Genomic DNA, 21125 nt, shown 5'->3' on the forward strand with positions numbered 1-21125 from the left:
AGCAAGCTTGTCTAAGCAGAGGCCCTCTTAGCGCAGTGGGCAGCGCGTCAGTCTCATAATCTGAAGGTCCTGAGTTCGAGCCTCAGAGAGGGCAGCTGTTTTGTTGTGCTACGAATGCAGCAAATGTTCGGATGTAACCCAGCAAAGCACTCTGAACTATGGGCAAAGAGTAGGTGTGTCCCTCAAGGACCAGAGAGTAACAATTGCAGCAAATATGCGGATGTCACCCAGCAAAGTGCTCTGAACTATGGGTAAAGAGTAGATGTGCCCCTCGAGGACCAGAGGGTAAGGATGTGCCATCACCTGACAGCCAGGTGTACAGGAGCAGGGGACCCTGCCACAGGGCCGCGTAAATAAAATACATGGTAAGGTCAACTCGCGAATGAATCACCCTTGCTCATAACGAAAAGAAACTCAGATCACAGCCACAGGAACTGCTATTGTCCCCTCTCCCAGGAATTAAAATCCACAAATGAGGCCGGGTGCATTGGCTCACATCTGTAATCCCAACACTTTGGAGAGCCAAGATAGGAGAATAGCTTAAGCCCGGGAATTTAGAGACCAGCCTGGGCAACATAATGGGACCCTGTTTCTACAAAAAATAAAAATAGCCAGGCGTGGTGGCAAGTACCTCTAGTCCCAGCACCTCTGAGGTGGGAGGATCGCTTAGGTCGGAGCTGCAGTGAGCCCTCATCACACCATTGCACTCCAGCAGTTTTAAAACAAAACAAAACAAAAACCTCCACAAATGAGAAAACACGCACTGTTGGCATGAATGTAGGCAAACGGACACTAAGCGTTGCTGGTGAGAGCTAAATTGAGTCAATTCCTCTTGCAACATCTATGAAAATCAGCCTCCTAGACCACTTCCAATCTCTTTTTTCCTCGACCTTCCTCTGCTAGGAGAAAGGCCTTGTCTCCACCCTCGCCTCCATCCCAGACCCAGCTTCCAAGAGCCAGGAAGACCGAGGCAGTCAGCACCCAGCCTCAAGAGATCTAGGAGAGGGGGATGAGGCGTGGCTTGAATGACAAGCTCTGATTCTAGCTCTAGCTGAATCCTTCCATATTTTTCATTACAATACCTTCTATTTATTTTGTAGTTTATTCTCTATTAGTTATTTAGAAGCATATTTAATTTCCAAAATAGGAAAATTCTAGTTTTATTTTTATTATTTATATCTTAATTGCATTGTGGTCAAATAATATATTCTGTAAAAGTTAAATCCTTTGAAATTTATGGCTCAGGTATATGGTCGTTGTAAATGCTGTGTATGTGGGTGGGGTGGGGGTGTGTTCTGTAGTGGTTGTGTGCCTTGTTCTAAGTTTTCTTTTTTTTTTTTTGAGACTGAGTCTCGCCCTGTCGCCCAGGCTGGAGTGCAGTGGTGCGATCTCGGCTCACTGCAAGCTCCGCCTCCCGGGTTCACGCCATTCTCCTGCTTCAGCCTCCCGAGTAGCTGGGACTACAGGCGCCTGCCACCACGCCCGGCTAATTTTTTGTATTTTTAGTAGAGACGGGGTTTCACCATGTTAGCCAGGATGGTCTCGATCTCCTGACCTCGTGATCCACCCGCCTTGGCCTCCCAAAAGTGCTGGGATTACAGGCGTGAGCCACTGCGCCTGGCGCCTTGTTCTAAGTTTTCTAATCATGTTATTCAAAGCTTCTGTACCCTTATAAATTTTTTATCTGTTTGAACTGCTGGTTACTGTGAGATATAAATTTGTCTAATTTGTTGATTTTTCTTTTTGTATTTTGAGGCTACAATAACAACTACATAAAAACAGAATTCTTGTGCTTCCTGATGAATTGAACCTGAACTGAACACTTATGAAATGTTCCCCTTTATCTCAAATATTTTTTGTTTTCTAGTATGTTGTCTAATATTAATATAACATCAACTTTCTTTGATTTGTGCAGAAAGTATCTTCTTCTATTATGCTGTACTTTCTGTACCCTTATGTTTTAATGTATCTTTCAAACACAGTTATGATTTTTTGAATTGTTATATGATCTCTACAGATTAATAGGAATATTTAGTCCACTTACATTTAATATAATTACTGCTATATTTGGTTTTAAATCTATCATTTCAGTAAGCTTTTCCTTTTCTGCTTCTTCTTTGTTCTTTTTTTCCTTTTCCCTCTTTTCTTGGATTATTACTATATATTATTCCAGTATTTTCCCTCTTTGCTTGGAAGCTGTATACTTGTTTAATATTCTTTTAGCAATTAACCTAGAGATTACAATGCTACTCCTTGATTTATCAACACTGCTATTAATTAGGACTCTTATTTCCAGAAAGCATTTTAAAATTCTTGTACTCCCACTCCCAATTATTACCCTTCCAACTTGTATGTCTTTATTTTTAATTCTGTTGGACACATACTTAGGAGTGGAATTACTGAATCATATGGTAACTCTGTTAAGCATTTTGAAGAACTTCCAAACATTTTCAAAGTGACGGCAACATTTTGCAATCCCACCAGCAATATATGAGGATTCCAATCTCTCCACATCCTTGTCAACACTTGTTATTGTTTTTTTTACTCTAGCCATCCTAACAGATAAGTGATAACTCCTTTGGGTTTGTTTTCTTCCATGCAATAGTCCAAAGTGAACAGCTTATCTCGATGTCTGACTCATGCACACAGGATGCTTCTATCCTGTGGTTCTGCAATGCCCTGGGGCCTCCACATCATTTGCCTTGAGCTGGTAGAAGTGGAAGGAGACCCTGGAGGGAACAGTCCTACTTCTTTAGGCCTAGCCCAGAGCTGACACATATTATTCACTCATGATCCACTGGCAAGAACTAAGTTCCTGACAACGTCTACATGTTGCAAAGGATGGCATACTTGGCCCTTGGCATTGCAGCTTCCTCCCAGGGAAAACTCCGAGCCATGAACTTCAGTGGGCAGCTGGCAGTCTCAGCTATACAAACACCAAGCCAAAAAGAGGACCCTGATGGAAGAAGACTAGAAAGCAGGCCTATATGGCTTTTTTTCCAGGAGCTGGGCCCTTTCCAGCCTGGTGAAGCCCAGATATATAATACTACATTGTCACATTTTCAAACGTGAGGAAACTGTCCTGAAACAGTGAGCTAGGTAGCTTTGATTAGCACCAAACACCAGAATTAGCATCAGGACTTTTAAAGAGTCAAATAAAATGATGTAGCGTGAAGCAGGGAGCTTCTTCATCACTGAAGTTAGGCACAAAAAGGGAACCTGTCCTCAGAACATGGCTAGACCAGCTCTAGGAGTTCTACCTGAGTCAAGAGTTGAGCATTATTGGTCTATCTATCAACTCCCTGATACAATCTGAAAGTTGGTACGTGGACTTACATTTCTTGAGCTTTAAGATTCCAAAAATTCCCGCTTAAAAAAAAAAAAAAGTTTACAAACAAAACTAAGTCTGGTCTAAAACTCCTTCCCCACCTTGAAATTTGCTGAAGGCATAAGCAATCTATCACAATGAGTTTGTGACTTGAAAGAAAGGGACACATATCCAAGCCACTTTGCTTTCTGCTTTGCTATTTTATTCATTACAAAGGGATCTCAAGTTTCCTGCCAAAACCCAGAAATCAGTGGTAGGAAGATAACAAAGGAAAAAGCTCCAAGCCATCTGATTAAAATCTGGGAGTGCAGGCTGAGAGCGGGCTACTGGAGGGGAGGGATGACCCAAGCTAAGGCAGAGGAGATGGCAGGTGTTAGAGGTGTCCAGCACTCTGAAGCCATCCTCACAGCCACACCAGCCCAAAGACTGGGTCTTCACTGGCAGGACCATGGCATGCCACCTTTAATACAAGAGCTGGTAGATGGTGGCACTGCTGCTAGAGCCCATGACCAGATACTGGTTGTCAGAGGACACGTCACAGCACAGGATACCTGAAGACTCCTCTATCTAGATGGATGGAAGGGCCAAAACAGGGATCACATTTGGGGCCAGACATGAAGGCTTCATTTAGGGCTGTTTCAAGGCTCAGTGTAGACCTAAGGCTCAGGTGGAGGACAGGGCCAGGTCTCAGGGATCAAGGTGACTTGGGAGTTCATAGGATGTGAAGTCTTCATTTCCCCTACTCTGTAAAATGGCCCTGGCTGCCATCTCAGAGGTGTTTTCCAACACCCACTGGAATCCAACCAACTGGGACCTGGAGCTACAAGCTCCCAGTGCCTGGGTTCGGGCATCCCTCTGTGTCCAGTACCTGAAACAACTTTTGCAGAGAAGGTGCCTCCAAGCCACTGAGGCGCGTATCTATCGCGGTCACAAAATAGCTCCCTGGTGAAGGAACGAACAGGTGAGAGGCCAGAGACCAATCCTGCATTCTAGTTCCAGCACTGTCCCCAACCAGACTAAGGGCAAGTCTTTCTCTGCCTGTTTCCCTATCTATGAAAATCAGACACACAACCCAAGCCATTCCCTTATCTTCCCCCACCCTCCTACCACACACAAGATCATGGTTATCACGGAACAACAGAAGGACAATCAGATAGGGTTCACGCCTCTTCAGTCTGCCTGAGTCTTCAGGCTGTCATTCTGTGCAGGATCTCCCATTACGGAGGGAGCCAGAAAAGGAAAGGGGGGTGAACAGAGAAAGAAGAGACGACAGCAAGTTCAAAATCGGACACCCAGAGGTGTCACCTGGCTTCTCACTCACCACAGGAGGCAAACTTGAGGCTGTGGTGGCGGGTGTATTTTTTCATGAGAGCCTTAAACTGCTCATTCCGACGAGTGTGAAGGAACACGATATCACTCGTTCTCAGGCCCGCCAATACCCATTCTTCACCGGGGTCGTGGGTAATGCTGAGGATCTGTTCGTGGAAGCAGGTTTGAGGTCAGCACTCAAAGTTGCCAACGCCATCCTTTGTGCCCACCTCTCAAGCTCACACTCCCACCCCTGCCTCCATGCATGGCTCCACTACAGGTGGCATTCTGCCAGTGGTGGCCAGCCGGGCACCTCATTCTGTAAGTTGTGTTGGTGCAGCCTCTGGTAGCTCCTCAGGTCCCAGGAATACAGGATGGTGTCTTCACCTCCTGTCCAGAATATATTGCCGGTGATGTCCACACATCGGGACCCGTATACAGGAACTTCGTGCTTCCTGGTGGGTGGGAAAACAACTCAGAGGGTCACTGAATGGTTTGGGCCCCCGGGAAGTTTCAGGGTCAGGAAGCCCCTAGGAGTACCCCAGATATATCTTCTACACTGACTCGCCCAGCCCTAATGCAAAGAGGGGAAAGAGCCTCACTGGCAAGCCCTCCCCCAGGTACACCTGAGTGGCTCTGGAGAGAGGTCATACCTGATCAAGATTTGGTTCTGCAAATCCCAAATCTCAACAAATCCATGGAAACAAGCCAAACAGATATGGGCATCAGAGGAGACAGCCAGAGAATAGCACGTGGGGCCCGTCGAGGTCAGCTGTGCCCTGACCTGGGGGGTGGGTGCCAAGTCCCAGAGAGTCACGGCCTGGGACGCACCCCCTGTGATCAGGCTCCGCTCATCAGGGAACAGCTTGCAGGTAACAACACGGTCCTGGGGATGCTGTAAGGAAGGGTTCACACACTGGTATCCCCTTGGGGCACCGAACCTGGGTCTCACGTCAGAGGCCCTGTCAGAGTTCCCTGAGTCCTGCTTTGGATCTCCCTCACCTGCAAGTCCAGCTGGGCCCGAGGGGCCTTCTCCCCCGCATGCAGCGCACTCTCATCCCATACCCTGATGTAGCCAGAGCCACACGTGTACACGTGGTGGGTTGAGCCGCTGATGGCCACAGCGTAGACTCTCTTTCCATGGAAGAGTGTGCCAACCTTCCAGGAGCCCTGTGGGGCCCTCTTCTGCCTGACCACAACTTCATCTGGAATGGGGGGCTAGGCAAGGAGAGGGTGGGTAGCAGTGGCCCTGACCTGCTATCATTAATAGGACAGTCCACCCCGTCTTCCAGCTAGATTCTTAACCACCCACCCATCCACCCACCCAACCGCAGAACCTGGCCCCTGGTTCCCAGGGTCACAGCTCTTGAAGAAATGACACTGTGAGCTGAAGACCCTACTTCTCAGGATGGGGGAACAGGGAACATAGCTCAAAAGGAGCAGGAGCCCAGGACACCCCCCTACCTATGGGAGAGAGAGTGAAAGTGTGGACACATGGTTTCTTGATTGGGGGTAGGTGGGAAAGGAAGGATCCTGAGTATGAAGTTGGACACTTACAATTGCTCTGAGCAATGAGAGGACTTCTTCACTGGGAGAGGAAGAAGAGTAAGGCTGGCCTGCAGGGAAAGAGCAATGCCCACCTGCTCACAGAGTCCCACGCTTCAGGGAGAAGCCTGCTCTGTTGACACCAGGCCCCCGTTCCTAGTCCCCCATCTGGGGCCCAGCTTGGGCAACCACACGCACCACTATGACTGGTACTCACCAACCTCAGAACCCAGTAGGAAGCTACAACACATGGAGAGAGGGAGGGAGGAGACAGAGTGTGAGCCACAGAGCTTCCTGCTGGGATGCCCTCTCCCCAGTCCAGTTTGCCACCCCCACTGAGTCAGGTTCAAGCAAGACCTGCCTTGGGCTGGACTCTGCTGCTTCTCCTGGTTGTGCATCAGGGAGCCCAGCGGCCTGGAGCTCAGATCTACCCAGGCCCTGGAGGTGCCACTGCTGCTGGGTCACCGTGCTTGTCTCTTGATCAGCAGGGCTGTGCTGTATTGGGGGGCCCGGGGGCTGCCAGGGCACTCCCAACAGACTGCCCAGTTGCTGCTGCACTTGTGGCTCAGGCTGAGAGGAAACGCCAGAGCTTTCCAGCACATCCCTCCTCTCCTCTGGCTCACCATAAGCCCCGAACATTCTGAGCGATGCCTCTTCCTTCTCTCCACTCATGTTCTTAGATCAGTGAGGTGTCTGGACCACCCGGTTCTAGGACTTGACAAATAGACCCGCCAAACAGACACCAGGTTCCCAGTGTGTCCTGATCCCCTGTAAGGTGAAAAAAAAGAGACGCAGCTATGCACATGTGCTCTGTAGGGTCTCTTTAGAAGGGGCAGAGAATGTCTCCTTTGGTGAAAAGATTCAAAAGAGTGGTTGCCAACTAGCTTTTCACATTAGGTGTTGGCGGCAATGATGTCAAGGGTGAAAGCGTCACACAAGCACTTTGAGATGTTAGTGCCAGGCATTGTATTTTTCCTTTTATGCAAATGGACTGTATTTCTGGTCATTTAAAAATCAAACTCACCTGCCGGGCACGGTGGCTCACACCTGTAATCCCAGCTCTTTGGGAGGCTGAGGCAGGCAGATCACAAGGCCAGGAGTTTGAGACCAGCCTGGCCAACATTGTGAAACCCAATCTCTACTGAAAATACAAAAATTAGCCGGGCATGATGGCACGTGCCTGTAATCCCAGCTACTTGGGAGGCTGAGGCAGGAGAATCACTTGAACAGAGGAGGCGGAGGTTGCACTGAGGTGAGATCGTGCCACTGCACTCCAGCCTGGTCAACAAAGCAAGACTCCGTCTCAAAAAAATCAAACTCACCTTTTCATCTGGCTGTACATATTTCAAATGAGGGCTCATACCTAAGCTAAATAAAATATAAGGCAACAGGAAATTCCACATACAACATGTGTCTCTCACCTAGAGGGGTTGGAGGAAACCCCAAGAGATCATAAGAATATAAGGTGTCCTACTTGGACGGGGCAAGGCTATCTAATGATGAAGTTGGCTTGGAGGTGATTACTATTTCCTACCCTATGGGATAATTCTGAGAACTGGATGCAATCACTCAAGTAGAATACTCGGCATTGTACAAGGCTAGTGGTAAACAATCAATAGAAGATAGTACACTTATTTGAGGCCTGTGTCAGGGACCAGAGCTTTGAGGATTTAAGTAGACCAAATACCCTCCTTCAGGAAGGCTCCTGCCCAACAGCCAGCCCTAGGAAGGCCCTGGAGAGACCCAGGGTTCTATGAACAGAGCACATCAGGAGCCTTAGGGATGGGACAAGACAATGCGCGGGGAAAGGATCTTCAAGTGAGAACCACCAGCTTGACAGCCAGGCTCAATAGCTGGCTCTCAAACACCCACGAACTCTATGGCAAGCACCAGGGTGGGGGCCCAGGCTACCTGTCCTTGGGAAGATGCAGGGGAGAGTTTTACTTCTCTGTGTGTTTGGCCCTGAACTAAATGCTTTACATAGCTGATCTCATTTTATGCTCACAACTATATGGGCCCCATTTTATAGATTTTTTAAAACTGGAGCTTGGAGAGCACTGGGTCCATGATCAAACTGCTAGAAAACACAGAGAGGAGGTTCGAACCCTGTCCTGCATAGCTCTAAACCACCTCCTTTCCTACCTCCCTATTAGAAGGAAGGCAATATCCGCCATTATTACCGATGCAGTGACCTTTAACCTAGTACTTCCACTTCTAAAAATGTACCCTAGAGGTGCACTTGGATATATGCAAAATAATAGATGTACAAGCTGGAGAACAGCAGCACTGTTTGTGACAATATTGGGACATTGTTTGTTATAACCTTTGCAGAGCCAAGATTGCACCACTGCATTCCAGCCTGGGATTTGGCAGATGTCTGGCCAATGCCCAAATGGCCATGGGAGGAGACTGGTGCAATAAGTTAGAGTATAGCCATATGGTAGAATGGTATGCAGCTATTAAAAATAACAAGGACATGGCTAGGCACGGTAGCTCACGCCTGTAATCCCAGCACTTTGGGAGGCCGAGGCAGGCAGATCATGAGGTCAGGAGTTCAAGACCAGCCTGACCAACAAGGTGAAACGCTGTCTCTACTAAAACTACAAAAATTAGCCAGGTGTGGTGCCACGCACCTGTAATCCCAGCTACTCAGGAGGCTGAGGCAGGAGAATTGCTTGAACCCGGGAGGCGGAGGTTGCAGTGAGCCGAGATCGTGCCAATGCACTCCAGCCTGGGTGGCAGAGTGAAACTCTGTCTCAAAATAAATAAATAAAATAAAATAAAATAAAATAACAAGGATGCATACATTGATATGGAATATTCCAAGGTGTATTAATAAGTGGGTGAAAACTGCAATGTTCAGAAAAATGTGCCAAATATGCAACTTTTATGTAAAAGAAAAATGGAAATTAAATTTATCTTTGTATATAAGAAATTAGAAACAGTGGTTGCCTTTCAGAGATGGAAATTGGCAAATAGGAAAGAAGAATGGGAGGGAGATTTGTCACTGCATAACTCAGTACCTTTTCTGCATATTTCTGGACATTCAAACCTATGTTAAAAATGGTTGGATCTGGAGCCTTTCTCATCTCACCCCAAATGTTGATCCTCCTGATTCTTAGTTGTTTAAATAATTTAACGCACTCTCCTTGACTTGCGTCAGGCTCCTCTAATTGGAGACACCAGGGCTGAGCTTGGAGCATGGAAACTCCCAGCAGAGACCACCACTGCTCAGACCCCCTTTTGGGGCCTACATAAAGTTTAAAAGCAGTGAAACTATTTAACCAGGGCTTCAGCCTCCAAATTTGCCAGAATTTCACCCTAAGAATAAAACAAGGCTTTCTAGAAAGAGCAGGAGGAAGAGTCAGTATCACCGATTCCCTTCTCTTCTCTCTCCCAGAGCTAGGAACACAGAGCTCCCCACCCTCTTACCAGACAACTCTCTTTCCAAAGCCCCCAGAATGCTGGTCTGGGGGCTCACTCAAACCCCCCATGGCAGGAAACTCACCTCTGAAGGAAGAAGGTCAAACCCTAGACATGGGAAGTCAGCCAAGCTAAGACCCAGCCAGGCATAAGAATCCCCACATCCTCTCCCAGCCCCAGACCCTCCCTTCCACACCCAGGTGCTGCCCCTATCCTGCGGTGCTGCTGCTTTTAAACGTGAGCCTAATGGGTTGTCAAGCCCTGGGTCAGAATCTCGGTCAGGTATCCTGGCCCTGAATGGCTGTCAATCAATCACCAGACGTGGCCACACAACCAACCCCGCTGAGCCAAGCTGCTGCTGGCGGTATCTCAGGTTAACCTATGAGCCCTTGAATTGGGGGTAGTAAGACAGGGACCCACCAAGTATTTTCATGGTAGGAGTTAAGATAGAGGGAGACATTTTTAGGGGGATACGTCTTTGGACTGGATTCAAACCACCCTACAAGAGCCAGCGTCTGTGCAAAGATGGGGAGTTGAGTTGAGCTGTTCGCCAGAGCCAAGAGTCAGAGTCTCAGCTCCAGGTGAATCTCCTTTGCTTGAGAAGGCTGATCTTGGCCTGAAGCCAACAGTGGGTGACTGTGGGAGGGACACGGGGCCGCTTTCCTCTTCCTCCCCTGCTCTGGCCTGAGCGTGCCTGGCTCTGGGCCTCTAATCTTTTACCAGTGTCCCTGAAAGCAAAGACTGAGGAACACTCTCTTTTTCGTGGCTGTCTCAGCCAGTGGTTCTTACATTGGAGCACACATCAAATCCCCTGGAGGCCTTGTTAAAAGTGTGGTGGACCCACTCCCAGAAATTCTGATTCAGGGCTGGGCACAGTGGCTCACACCTGTAATCCCAGCACTTGGGGAGGCCGAGGCGGGCAGATCACTTGAAGTCAGGACCAGCCTGTCCAACATGGTGAAACCCTGTCTATACTAAACATACAAAAATTAACTGGGTATGGTGGTGCACGCCTGTAATCCCAGCACTTTGGGAAGCCGAGGCAGGTGGATCACCTGAGGTCAGATGTTTGAGACCAGCCTGGCCAACATGGTGAAACCCTGTCTCTACTAGAAATACAAAAATTAGCTGGGCATGATGGTGCGTGCCTGTAATTCCAGCTACTTGGGAGGCTGAGGCACAAGAATTACTTGAATCTGGGAGGTGGAGGCTGCAGTGAGCTGAGATTGCGCCACTGCATTCCAGCCTGAGTGACAGAGTGAGACTCTGTCTCAGAAAAAAAAAAAAAAAAAGGAAAAGAAAGGGAGGGAGGAGAGAGAGAGAGAAGAGAAGAAAAGAAAGGAAGGAAGAAACAAAGAGGAAGGAAGGAAGAAAGGAAAGAGAAGGGAGAAGAGAAGAGAAGAGAAGAGAAAGAAATTTTGATTCAGTAGGCATGGGTGGGGCCCAAGACTGTGTTTCTAACAAGTTCCCGATGTGTTGGTGATGCTGTTGCTGCTGCCACCAGGCTGGGGACCAGCATCTGAGAGGCACTGGGGGAACCCTTCGGTCTGAGGATCCCTTTCTGGAAGGAGAGGAAGGGGTGATGAAGCTGGACCCCTTTCCTCCTTCACTCCTTGCTTTTGCCTCCATTCCCTGATCACCCCCTTTCCCCCACTGAATCTACTGTCTCCTCTCCTCTGGCTTCTTTCTCATTCATTGGCTCCCTTCTTTTGAAGAAATCCTGAGATGGCTGCTACTTACAGAGGAATCTTTTACCACCCCTGACCTCCAATCTCCAAAGCTCTCTGTCTCTCCCTTCTCCCCTCTGCCTCACTTACACACCCCTTGTCCCCAGAACGTCTGTGGCTGCCTATTGCCTTCAAGATAATGTTGCTGGAAAGAGAGGGTCCTGATCCAGACCCCAAGAGTCTTGGATCTCACGCAGGAAGGAATTAAAGGCAGGTCACAGAGTGCAGCGTGAAAGAAACAAGTTTATTAGAAACTACTCTGTTGTAGAGTGGAGCATCCTCAGAAAGCAGGAGGAGGAACACACCATCTTCTGTTAGTGTCTCTACTTATAAGAAACCATAAGGAGTGGCCGGACACAGTGGTTCACAGCCGTAATCCCAGCACTTTGGGAGGCCGAGGCGGGTGGATCACCTGAGGTCACGAGTTCGAGACCAGCCTGGCCAACGTGGTGAAACCCGTCTCTAATAAAAATACAAAATTAGCCAGGCATGGTGGCATGCCTATCATCCCAGCTACTCAGGAGGCTGAGGCAGGAGAATCACCTGAGCCCAGGAGGCAGAGCCCTGAAGCAAGATTGCGCCACTCCACTCCAGCCTGGGTGACAGAACGAGACTCCATCTCAAAAAAAAAAAAAAAAAGAGAGAGAGAAAGAAAGAAAAGAGAAAAAAGAAAAGAAAAGAAACCATAAGGAGCTGTAATTAAACTTGGAATGTGCAGATTGCTTGCTAAAGGTAAGGGATATTGGTGGGCGGCTGTAATCCCAGCTATTCGGGAGGCTGAGGCAGGGAGAATCACTTGAACCCAGGAGACAGAGGTTGCCGTGAGCCAAGATCGCACCACTGCACTCCAGCCTGGGTATCAGGGTGAGACTCCATCTCAAAAAAAAAAAAAAAAAAAGCGAAAATAGGGACAGCCCGAGGAGTTGCAAGAGTCAAAGAGAGCCGTGGTTCTTATACCCAGAGGCAAGTTAAAGGCAATTGGTGCTTTAGAAATAACCAGATGGACAGAGAGTGCATCCTGTTGTCCCTCAGCCGTGGATAGAGGGACCCAGCTTGAGCTCAGGATGTGCCATAGTTGAAATTCAGGTGTATGTGGGCAACAGGTGGGACCCCCTTGACCAAAACTGTCACAACCAGGGTAAAGTTGATTCCACGCAGAGAAAGCAAACAGGGCTAATGATAGTAATCAAACACACCTGTGCCCCTTCCCCACCACCTTTCCATCCCCGTGGCCAGTTGGCACAGTCTTACTGACCCCCGCTGTGCTGGGCACTGAGGAGATGAGGCTGGGCCCACAGAGCTGACCATGACCCGTGTGGAATTCCCTCTTTGAAGGGAAACTGACCACTGAACTGGAGATTACAAGTCAGAGTGGAAAGTGACATGGTGGAGGAGGAGGGCTGTAAAGGGGTGGGGTGTGTGAGCCCAGAGAAAGTCACATAACCTGGAAGTGAAAGGTGATAGGGAGTACGTAAGGTCAGAAGGATGGAAGGACTCAGCGGGGGAAGCAGGGTAGCAGAGAGCATAGGAGAATGTTCCAGACAGACAGAAGGGCAGAGGCAAAGGAATGGATTTTAGCAATTGGGAGAATTTTCTAGGGGCTGGAGCACAGAGGGTGTGTGTTTTGGAGGCAGGGAGGGCAGGAATGTGTCCTCCTTTCCAGAGAGAGTTGGAAGGCATTTGGGGGTGGTTCTGAGCTGGGGGAGACATAATCAGAGTTGGGTTTCAGAAGGAGGACTGTAGCTGTTCTTCTAGGGATAGAATGGGGGGAAGGGACAAGACTGGAGGCTGGGAACCAGCTAAAAGAAAAAGACACTCCACATCACCAGTCATCCGGGAAATGGAAATCAAAGCCACATGTAATAGATCACTTCACACACCCTAGGATGGCTATGACAGCCACCAAAACCACAGAAAATAACAAATGTTGGTGAGAATGTGGGGAAATTGGAACCCTCCTACGTTGCTGATAGGAATACCACGGAGCAGCCACTGTGAAAAACAGTTTGGCAACTCCTCAGAGTTAACATGTGACCCAGCAGCTCCACTCTTAAGTATATGCCCCCAAAAATGGAAAACAGGGACTTAAACATTTCTTGGACACCAGTGTTCACAGAAGCATTATTCACAGTAGCCAAAAAGAAACAACCCAAGTGTCCCCCAATTGAAGAATGGATCAAAATGTGGTGTAAATATACAACGGAGCATTACTCAGCCATAAAAAGAATGAAGCTGTGATACACACTACCACATGGGTGAACCTGAAAATATTATGCTATGTGAAATAAGCCAGACACAAAAGGCCAATACTGCATGATTCTATCTACATGAAATATCCACAAAAGGCCAGTCCTTAGAGACAGAAAGCAGGTTAGTGGTTGCCAGGGACTGGCAAAGGGGAATGGGACGCCACTTCTTAATGGGTCTGGAATTCCTTTTGGGATGACAAAAAAGTTCTGAAACTAGAGGGTGGTGATGGTTGTGCAACATTGTGATGTACCTAATGCCACGGAATTGTACACTTTAAAATAGCTAAGATGAGCCGGGCACCTGTAATCCCAGCTACTCGGGAGGCTGAGGCAGGAGAATCACTTGAACCCAGGAGGCAGAGGTTGCAGTGAACCGAAATCGGGCGACTGCACTCCAGCCTGGGCAACAGAGCGAGACTGCGCCTCAAAAGAAAAAAAAAATAGCTAAAGTGTTAAATTTCATGTTATGTGTATTTTACAAGAAAGACCCAAAACCAGACATGGGGTCATGAGTTAGGGGTCCTGCAAATCCCAACAGCATTTTTCCTTCTTCCCCTTTAGCCAGCAAACTCCAGGCACTTTAGCTGGTGGTTTTCTTCCCTTTGCTCCCCTAGAAGAGCCACACAGCTGCAGGTGTCCCAGCCCGGAGGCTATGGGTAGCTGTCGTCAAATGGCTGGTGGGACCCCAACACCTAGTGGGCCAACACAAAGGTCAGAGATGGGGTCATCTGGGCAGAACTGCGACTGTGAGCCTCCAGATCTTTATTTGAGGGCTGACGCGCCCTCTGGCGGGCACCTGGAAGGGACAATGCACGGCCAGGCCCCTCCTCCCACCTCCTCCCTCACTGTCACGGGGAGCCCCAACTCCCCATTCCTTGCCAAGGCCCCTTCCTCCTAGCATGGTGACGCTGCCCTTCCCACAAGCACGGTGGCGTCTCCCGCATCGTACATTGCTCTTCCCACCCACCTCGCGTCCCGTCCCTGCCATGGGAAGTTTGCATTCCCAAGTCCTGCATTCCGATTTCTGTCCTGGGTCCATCTCTTATCTCCCCAGGGACCTGTTACCAAAGCCCCCTGCTCAGTCACTCTCAGGAGCCCGCCGGCAACTTTCCGCCTCCCCCACAGTCCTCGACAGCAACTCTACAATGTGGGCCTCGCAGCAGGATTTCACTCGATTTATTTTGTAAGAAAAGTTCACTTTTTTTTGTTGTTGGTAGAGACAAGGGTCTCACTTTGTTGCCCAGGCTGGTCTTGAACTGCTGGCCCCAAGCAATCCTCCCGCCTCGGCCTCCCACAGTGCTGGGATCACAGGCGTGCGCCACCGCGTTGCAATGGCTGCACTAACCACTCAGAGCGTCCTTGGGGTTCTGGCCTGCAGGGCGCGGCGTGCGCGGCCGGGCTTGCTAGGTTAGGGACCCGCTGCCCCAGGACTCCGGCCGTGGGCAGCTGTGACAGGGCTACTCCTCTGGGTCGGGCAGGGTCCAGCCCTCGCTTGGCCGGCGCCCCAGGGCCTGGCTCTTGGATTTTCCTCCCGCGCTCCCGGAAAGCGGGCAGGGGTGCAGCGAGCGCGCCGGCCGCCAGGGGGCACCAAGGGCCGGGGGCAGCAAGGACTCCTCGTGGCTTCTCCGCCCACCGCGCAGGGCGCAGACTTCCGGACGCAGGGCCCCGCTCCCCTGCCCCCTTCCAGACCGAGGCCAGAGCCGAGGCCCAGGGTCAGAAGCGCTGGCCCACGGCCGACGCATAGGCAGACAGGCCCTCGGGCGCTCACGCGCAGTCTCCAACTCCAGCCGGCGTCGCCGGCGCCAGCACCTCCGCGGGCGGCCCCAGCCTGGGAGCACGTGGGCCGCGGGGCTGCGGGCCGATGGCGGGGTGGGGACCAGCAGACGCGCGGGGATCCACGGCAGAACAGCCCCTTACCGTGGCGGGGGCGCTGAGGTCCCTCGGGGCAACCAGAGGACGGAGGCTTGGTGCCGCAGGGCAGTCGGGAAGGCTTCCTGGAGGCTGGGCTTGAGCCGAAGGTGGGTGGGATTTCGGTGGCTGGCAGGGGGTGGGGGCCACGCCTCAGGAACACTGAAGCCACTTGGGGAACAGGCGGCACAGTGAGAGATCCAGAAGGAGGAGAAAGCCGGAAAGCGAGCAGAGGTGGCCCAGACCGTGCAGGGGAGGTCCCTGAGACCCTGCCCGGTACAGGATGTGCTAAAGGACCACCTGGTCTGTAGTGGGTCTCTGGGCCTGCGAGCTAGGGGAAGGGGCTACAGGGGTCCTCGCCTTCCCCCAGGCTGCGGCGTTCCCCAGGAGAAGGCCAAGGTTGACCCATGTAGGATTCCCCAGCAGGTGGTCAACCCCTGGCCTGTGGAAGGGGCCTGCGGACAGTGCTGGAATGGAATGGAGTGCAATGGAATGTGTCGGAGGATGTCCTCATCCTCTCCAGGCCAGAAGATAACAGATGTGCAGGAGTGGAGATTTCAAAGGCAGAGAGAACAGGAGAGAATCCAGAGCCTCTTCCCAGAACCCCCAGCCCCTGCAGAGAGAGGGCCCCCAGGCCTCCGGGAGACTGTGCAGATGACACAGGAGCTCTGCTCCTCAGCGCATGGACGCCCTGCTTAGGCCTCGCACCAGGCTCTCCCCTCTACCTGCGGGTGCCTTGAGACAGGACAGCCATGTTTTCCTTTGAGCTTCTATTTCCCCTCCTGACCTAGCCAGAGCAGGCCCAGGTGTTCTCTGAGGTCCCTTCCAATGTGACAGGCCAAGGTGGGTGTGTGCACCTTGCACTGCAGGGACAGAACATGCAGATCCCGACTGAAGGAGAAAGACTTTAATCCTCCCCCTTCCAGGCCCAGGGCTCCAGTTAAGACAAGCAGAAGTGCTACTGTGCGGGGTTCTGGAGTCTCCTGTGCTCAGGTTTCTTGCTGTCCTGGTAAGGCCTCCACTGCACGCACATGGCTCAAGACTGGTGTGGTGAACACCAAGGCTACCCAGTCTCCTGGGTGGTGGGGTCATGTGACTTCACGAGGCTTTGCAGGTGTCTGACTGCCTTCTTCACCCTCCAGTCATTGAGGTCTGAGCAGATGACCTGCCCTGGACAGTAACAAGCCTACGGAGAGGGAGAAAACCGTCAGAGTCCTGGGACCATCCCCACCCTATGCTGACCAGGAGCCTGAGGCTGAGAGGCCCAGGGTCACATGGGACATTGGTGGCAGATCTGAGATATCAGGTTATGTCCTCTAGGATTCTCAATCTTCCATGAGTCCGAGCCTTGATCCTGCCACTGCAAAGAAACTGTGGACCCTGCGGGAAGCCAGGGCTGCAGGACTTCTTGTCCCCCTCTACGGACTGCCATGTCTCAGAGACCTGCAGAGGCTGTCCATCAACTGGGAAGGCTGGGGTGAGCCCTGGCCTTCTAAACTCTCCTCTGGCCCCAGTGAGAGACCACATCAGCCCCTGGTTTGCTGCATGACCAGGGGGTCGTCCCATCCATCTCTGGGCCTCAGTTTCTCTAAATGTAAATCCAGGACTTGGACCCCTCCAGGGTCTCAGTGCTTGGTCTGGAACAGCCCAGAGGAACAGGGCTGGCTGGTCAAGGAGAAGAAGGGTCCTGCTCTCCCCTCTCCCCAAGGTGTGGTCTGGGGGCTCCAGGGGCTGCCTCCTCCCATGCCCAGCTCCTAGGATGCCTGGGGTGGGGCAGACTTACACGATGGCATCCCTAGGACACTCTACCAAGGTCCCGTGCCACGTGACAAGCTTTCGGACAGGAATGGCTCCTTTGCAATACTCAAGGCAGCACTCCTGGCCGACACCAGCCCTTGAGCTACAGAGAGCTGGTGCAGGAGTGTCTATGTGAGGGTGTGGCCTGTAGGGTGTACCATGTGTACCACTAGGTGTGTCTGTGGATGTGGGGGTCTGTGGGGTACACCGTGTGTGTGTGTCTATGTATGTGAGGGGTCTGTGTCTTTGTCTATGTGTGCATGTGTGTCTTATGTGTGTCTATGGGTGTGGGGGGGAGTCTCTGTGTGTCTATGTGTGTATGTGTCTATGTGTGTGGGGGTCTGTGTGTATGTCTATGTGTGTGCATGTGTCTATGTATGTTGGGGGGGTCTGTGTGTGTCCTTGTGCGTTGGCTATGTGTGATGGGGTATCTGTTTGTGATCTATGCGTGTCTGTGGATGTGGGGGTCCGCAGGGTGCACTGTGTGTGTGTCTATGTATGTGGGGGGTCCATGTGTGTCCATGTGTGTCTGTGTATGTGGAGGTCTATGGGGTACACTGTGTGTGTCCCTGGGTGTGTGTGTGCATCTCGCTTGTGCCTATGGGAGAAGGATTTGGGGGCTTCCTGCATGTGTGCACCTGTGCATGACTGTACATCAGATGTGCACACACTCAAACCACCACCCCCTTCACCACCTCTGGGCCAGGCTCTGGCTGAGCCTTTCCTGGAAGCAAGTATTTCAGGCCTCACAACCGTATCTGGAAGGCAGGTTCTCTGTTACCCCATTTTACAGATGATCAAATGGAGGCCCAGAGATATGAAGACACTTCAGACCTGTTTTCTCATCTGTGTGCAAAAAAAAAAAAAAAAAAAAAAAAGATATCCAAAACTTGGAAATGGGCAAAATGATGATTATGTGTCTTTTAAAAGTATATATTATGCATTTTCTAGGCATTTCTCCCCCAGCTGTCCTTGGACTCTCCCGGGGATAAAATTCAGTTTGACTACCTCTGATTGGGGCCCCACCCTTTCACAGTCCTGTGAACGTAGAGCAGACTTACAGCAAACTTAAGGGTGGGACCACGTCATTTGTCTGAGAAGATAACCCAACCTCCAGTCCTTACCCTAAGTAATTCTTCATCTGGCTGTTCATTTGTATCCTTTACAACAAAATGGTAATAGTAACATGTTTTCCTGAGTTCTGTGCACTGTTTTAGCAAATTACTGAGCTGGAAAAGGGGGTCATGGGAACCCCCAATTTGTAGCCCTATCACACAGAAGCATGGGTAACCTGGGGACCCTCTACTTGTAACTTGTGTCTGAAGTGCAGGGCAGTCATGTGGAAGTGAGCCCTTAACCTGTGGTGTCTTCACTTACTCTGAAAGTGTCAATTGTTAAAATTGTAGGGCCGGGCGCGGTGGCTCACGCCTGTAATCCCAGCACTCTGGGAGGCTGAGGTGGGCGGATCATGAGGTCAGGAGATCAAGACCATCCTGGCTAACACGGTGAAACCCCGTCTCTACTAAAAATACAAAAAATTAGCCGGGCGTGGTGGCGGGTGCCTGTAGGCCCAGCTACTTGGGAGGCTGAGGCAGAATGGCATGAACCCGGGAGGTGGAGCTTGCAGTGAGCCGAGATCAGGCCACTGCATTCCAGCCTGGGTGACAGAGCGACTGTCTCAAAAAAAAAAAAAAAATTGTAGGACACCCAGTTGGTGTCTGCAGAGAATTGGAGAATCGTGTGAAAAACCGACACATTTGGTATCAAAGGTCTTGTGAAAAGCAGTGTTTCTTTACTACCATTAACAGGTGATGACCCTATTTTCTCCATACTATTATACTGTCCTGGTGTACACAAATAGATTCTGCTGTATGATTTATTGAAGAAAACCACCATCTAGAAATGGACTTTTACTAAAAATTGTTCAAGGATTCTGGGACAATAACCTTCATCTTAACAAGCAAAAAGAGGGACAGAGAGAGATTTCGGATTTTTTAAAATCGGATTTCTAACTTTTTGAAGACCCAGAATATTTGGCATTACTGGAACTGCTTTGCTGCCTACCCAGAATTTGCTACAGCTGAGTTGAGGCTGCCTTCTTTAGGTAGGGGATGCACTCTTCAATTCTCCACCCTCCCTACTCCTTGTCACTCTGTGTAGCCTCATTCGTCTGTCTGACTTTGAGGACACTTGAGTATCTGTGGGCCTACAGGGATGTTTATGAGGATTTGGGGTTTGCTGGTGATCGTTAAGTCTCATTTACTAGCGATTGCTTTTCTCCTGTTTTTATCTGTGGCACGTCAGAAGTCCTGGAACATGAGGATCTGAAGGAAGAGTGATGCTCCCAGTCCAATTATCTTAAATAACTGTCCCACATTCAGAAAACCTCCAGTGGTTTTGAACCTCATTCTAAACTAAATGCAGACTAGCTTCTGTTCTAAGGAGCCTGGGGGCCAGAGACAGCATATGCCTTACAGAGCTCACAGGTGGGCATGGTAAGGAGATGGTGTGTGGCACTTGGGGGATGGCAGAAGTTATCATGTCCCTTTCTTACTACTTACTATTGGGCCTGCTGTTCTTCAGCTTCCTGATAGTTAGCTTGCCTGCTCCTATTAGTGCTTAGAATCTTTTTTTTTTAAGACAGAGTCTCACTCTGTCGCCCAGGCTGGAGTGCAGTGGCATGATCTTGGCTCACTGCAGCCTCCGCCTCCTGGGTTCAAGTGATTCTCCTGCCTCAGCATCCTGAGTAACTGGGACTATAGGCACGCACCACCATGCCTGGCTAATTTTTATATTTTTGGAAGACACGGGGTTTCACCATGTTGGCCAGGATGGTCTCAATCTCCTGACCTCATGATCCGCCCACCTTGGCCTCCCAAAGTGCTGGGATAACAGGCGTGAGCCACTGCGCCCAGCCTATTGCTTAGAATTTTTTAAGGTGTTGAGAGATTCCCTTCCAAAGAGTATCTTGAGGCTTCCAAGATCTTCATCAGAGACCTTGAAAACCACCAATGAGACTGGGAATCCAAGGTAGCCACCTTCCTTCAGGACCTGAAAAGCCATGTGTTTATGCAAGAGTTCCAGTTATTACAAAATAGAAACCCTGTAACATGCTATCTTGTTGACTACATTTTATACTTATATAAAGGGCATCTATAGTAAATGTCATTTTTGACAGCTGCATAGTATCACATGTATGCATATATAACAATGTAATATGCAAAAAAACTTACTAATTTTCACACCTTAGAGTACTGAGATTGAATACCTCTTCTTACTTTAACAGTCATTTTTTAGTATCTGTTTAAAAGCTGCCTGTTAGTGTGTCTAAATTATTTATCTTTAGATATTAATGTTTTAAGAGACAGGGTCTCACTGCCACCCAGGCTGGAGTGCAGTGGTGGTCATAGCTCACTGCAGCCTCGAATTCCTGGAGTCAGGTGATCCTCTTGCCTCAGCCTCCCAAGCAGCAAGGACTGCAGGCACATACCACCACGCCTGGCTTTTATTATTTTTTGTAGCGATGGGATCTTGCTATGTTGCCCATACAGGTCTGGAACTCATGGCCTCACGCAATCTTCCCGTCTCAGCCTCCCAAAGCACTGAGATTACAGGTCTGATCCACCATGCCCAAATACTACACTTTTATATCACAAATTTTACAAAAGTATTTCCCCATTTTGCGCTTTATCTTTTAAACTTTAAAACAAAAACATACAGGAATATTTAGTTTTTGAGTAGTCAATTTATCAGTACATACCCTGTGGATAGTTTCTAGCTTTCATCTAATACTTAGAAAGGTTTTCTCAATTACATGAAAATTAAAAATGTACTCATACC

The 21125-nt window shown here is 49.8% G+C and overlaps 1 protein-coding gene and 1 non-coding gene across 2 annotated transcripts, besides 1 other annotated feature; one reads left to right on the forward strand and one right to left on the reverse strand.

The window, feature by feature from the left end:
- TRM-CAT2-1 (tRNA-Met (anticodon CAT) 2-1) lies at nt 22-94 on the forward strand. The gene has a single exon. It is a non-coding gene; the product is annotated as a tRNA-Met (tRNA).
- Nucleotides 463-562: an enhancer, noted in NCBI's record as "active region_11072". NCBI's record gives its function as "activates an Ori minimal core promoter by ATAC-STARR-seq in GM12878 lymphoblastoid cells {active_cell/tissue: GM12878}" and the evidence as "EXISTENCE:reporter gene assay evidence [ECO:0000049][PMID:35858748]".
- Nucleotides 3509-15583, reverse strand: TLE7 (TLE family member 7). Its single transcript, NM_001367365.2, has 10 exons — nt 15498-15583; nt 6543-6949; nt 6399-6421; nt 6194-6252; nt 5639-5854; nt 5290-5531; nt 4950-5091; nt 4650-4803; nt 4197-4270; nt 3509-3895 (listed from the first exon to the last, which is right to left on the reverse strand). Exons 2-10 carry the CDS (start codon nt 6851-6853, stop codon nt 3791-3793), a joined length of 1326 nt encoding a protein of 441 aa, NP_001354294.1. The 5' UTR covers nt 6854-6949; nt 15498-15583; the 3' UTR covers nt 3509-3790.
- Between the last annotated feature and the right edge of the window lie 5542 nt (nt 15584-21125).

This window comes from Homo sapiens, chromosome 16, assembly GCF_000001405.40.
Source record: "Homo sapiens chromosome 16, GRCh38.p14 Primary Assembly".
In the NCBI taxonomy this organism is placed as follows: Eukaryota; Metazoa; Chordata; class Mammalia; order Primates; family Hominidae; genus Homo; species Homo sapiens.

Coding starts and splice junctions, on each gene's coding strand:
- TLE7 (NM_001367365.2), bottom strand. CDS start 6,853: ATGAGTGGAGAGAAGGAAGAGGCATCGCTCAGAATGTTCGGGGCTTAT. Junction 5,092..5,289: donor CAGAACCAAATCTTGATCAG/GTATGACCTCTC, acceptor CCCACCCACCAG/GAAGCACGAAGTTCCTGTAT. Junction 3,896..4,196: donor CTCTGCAAAAGTTGTTTCAG/GTACTGGACACA, acceptor CCATCCATCTAG/ATAGAGGAGTCTTCAGGTAT.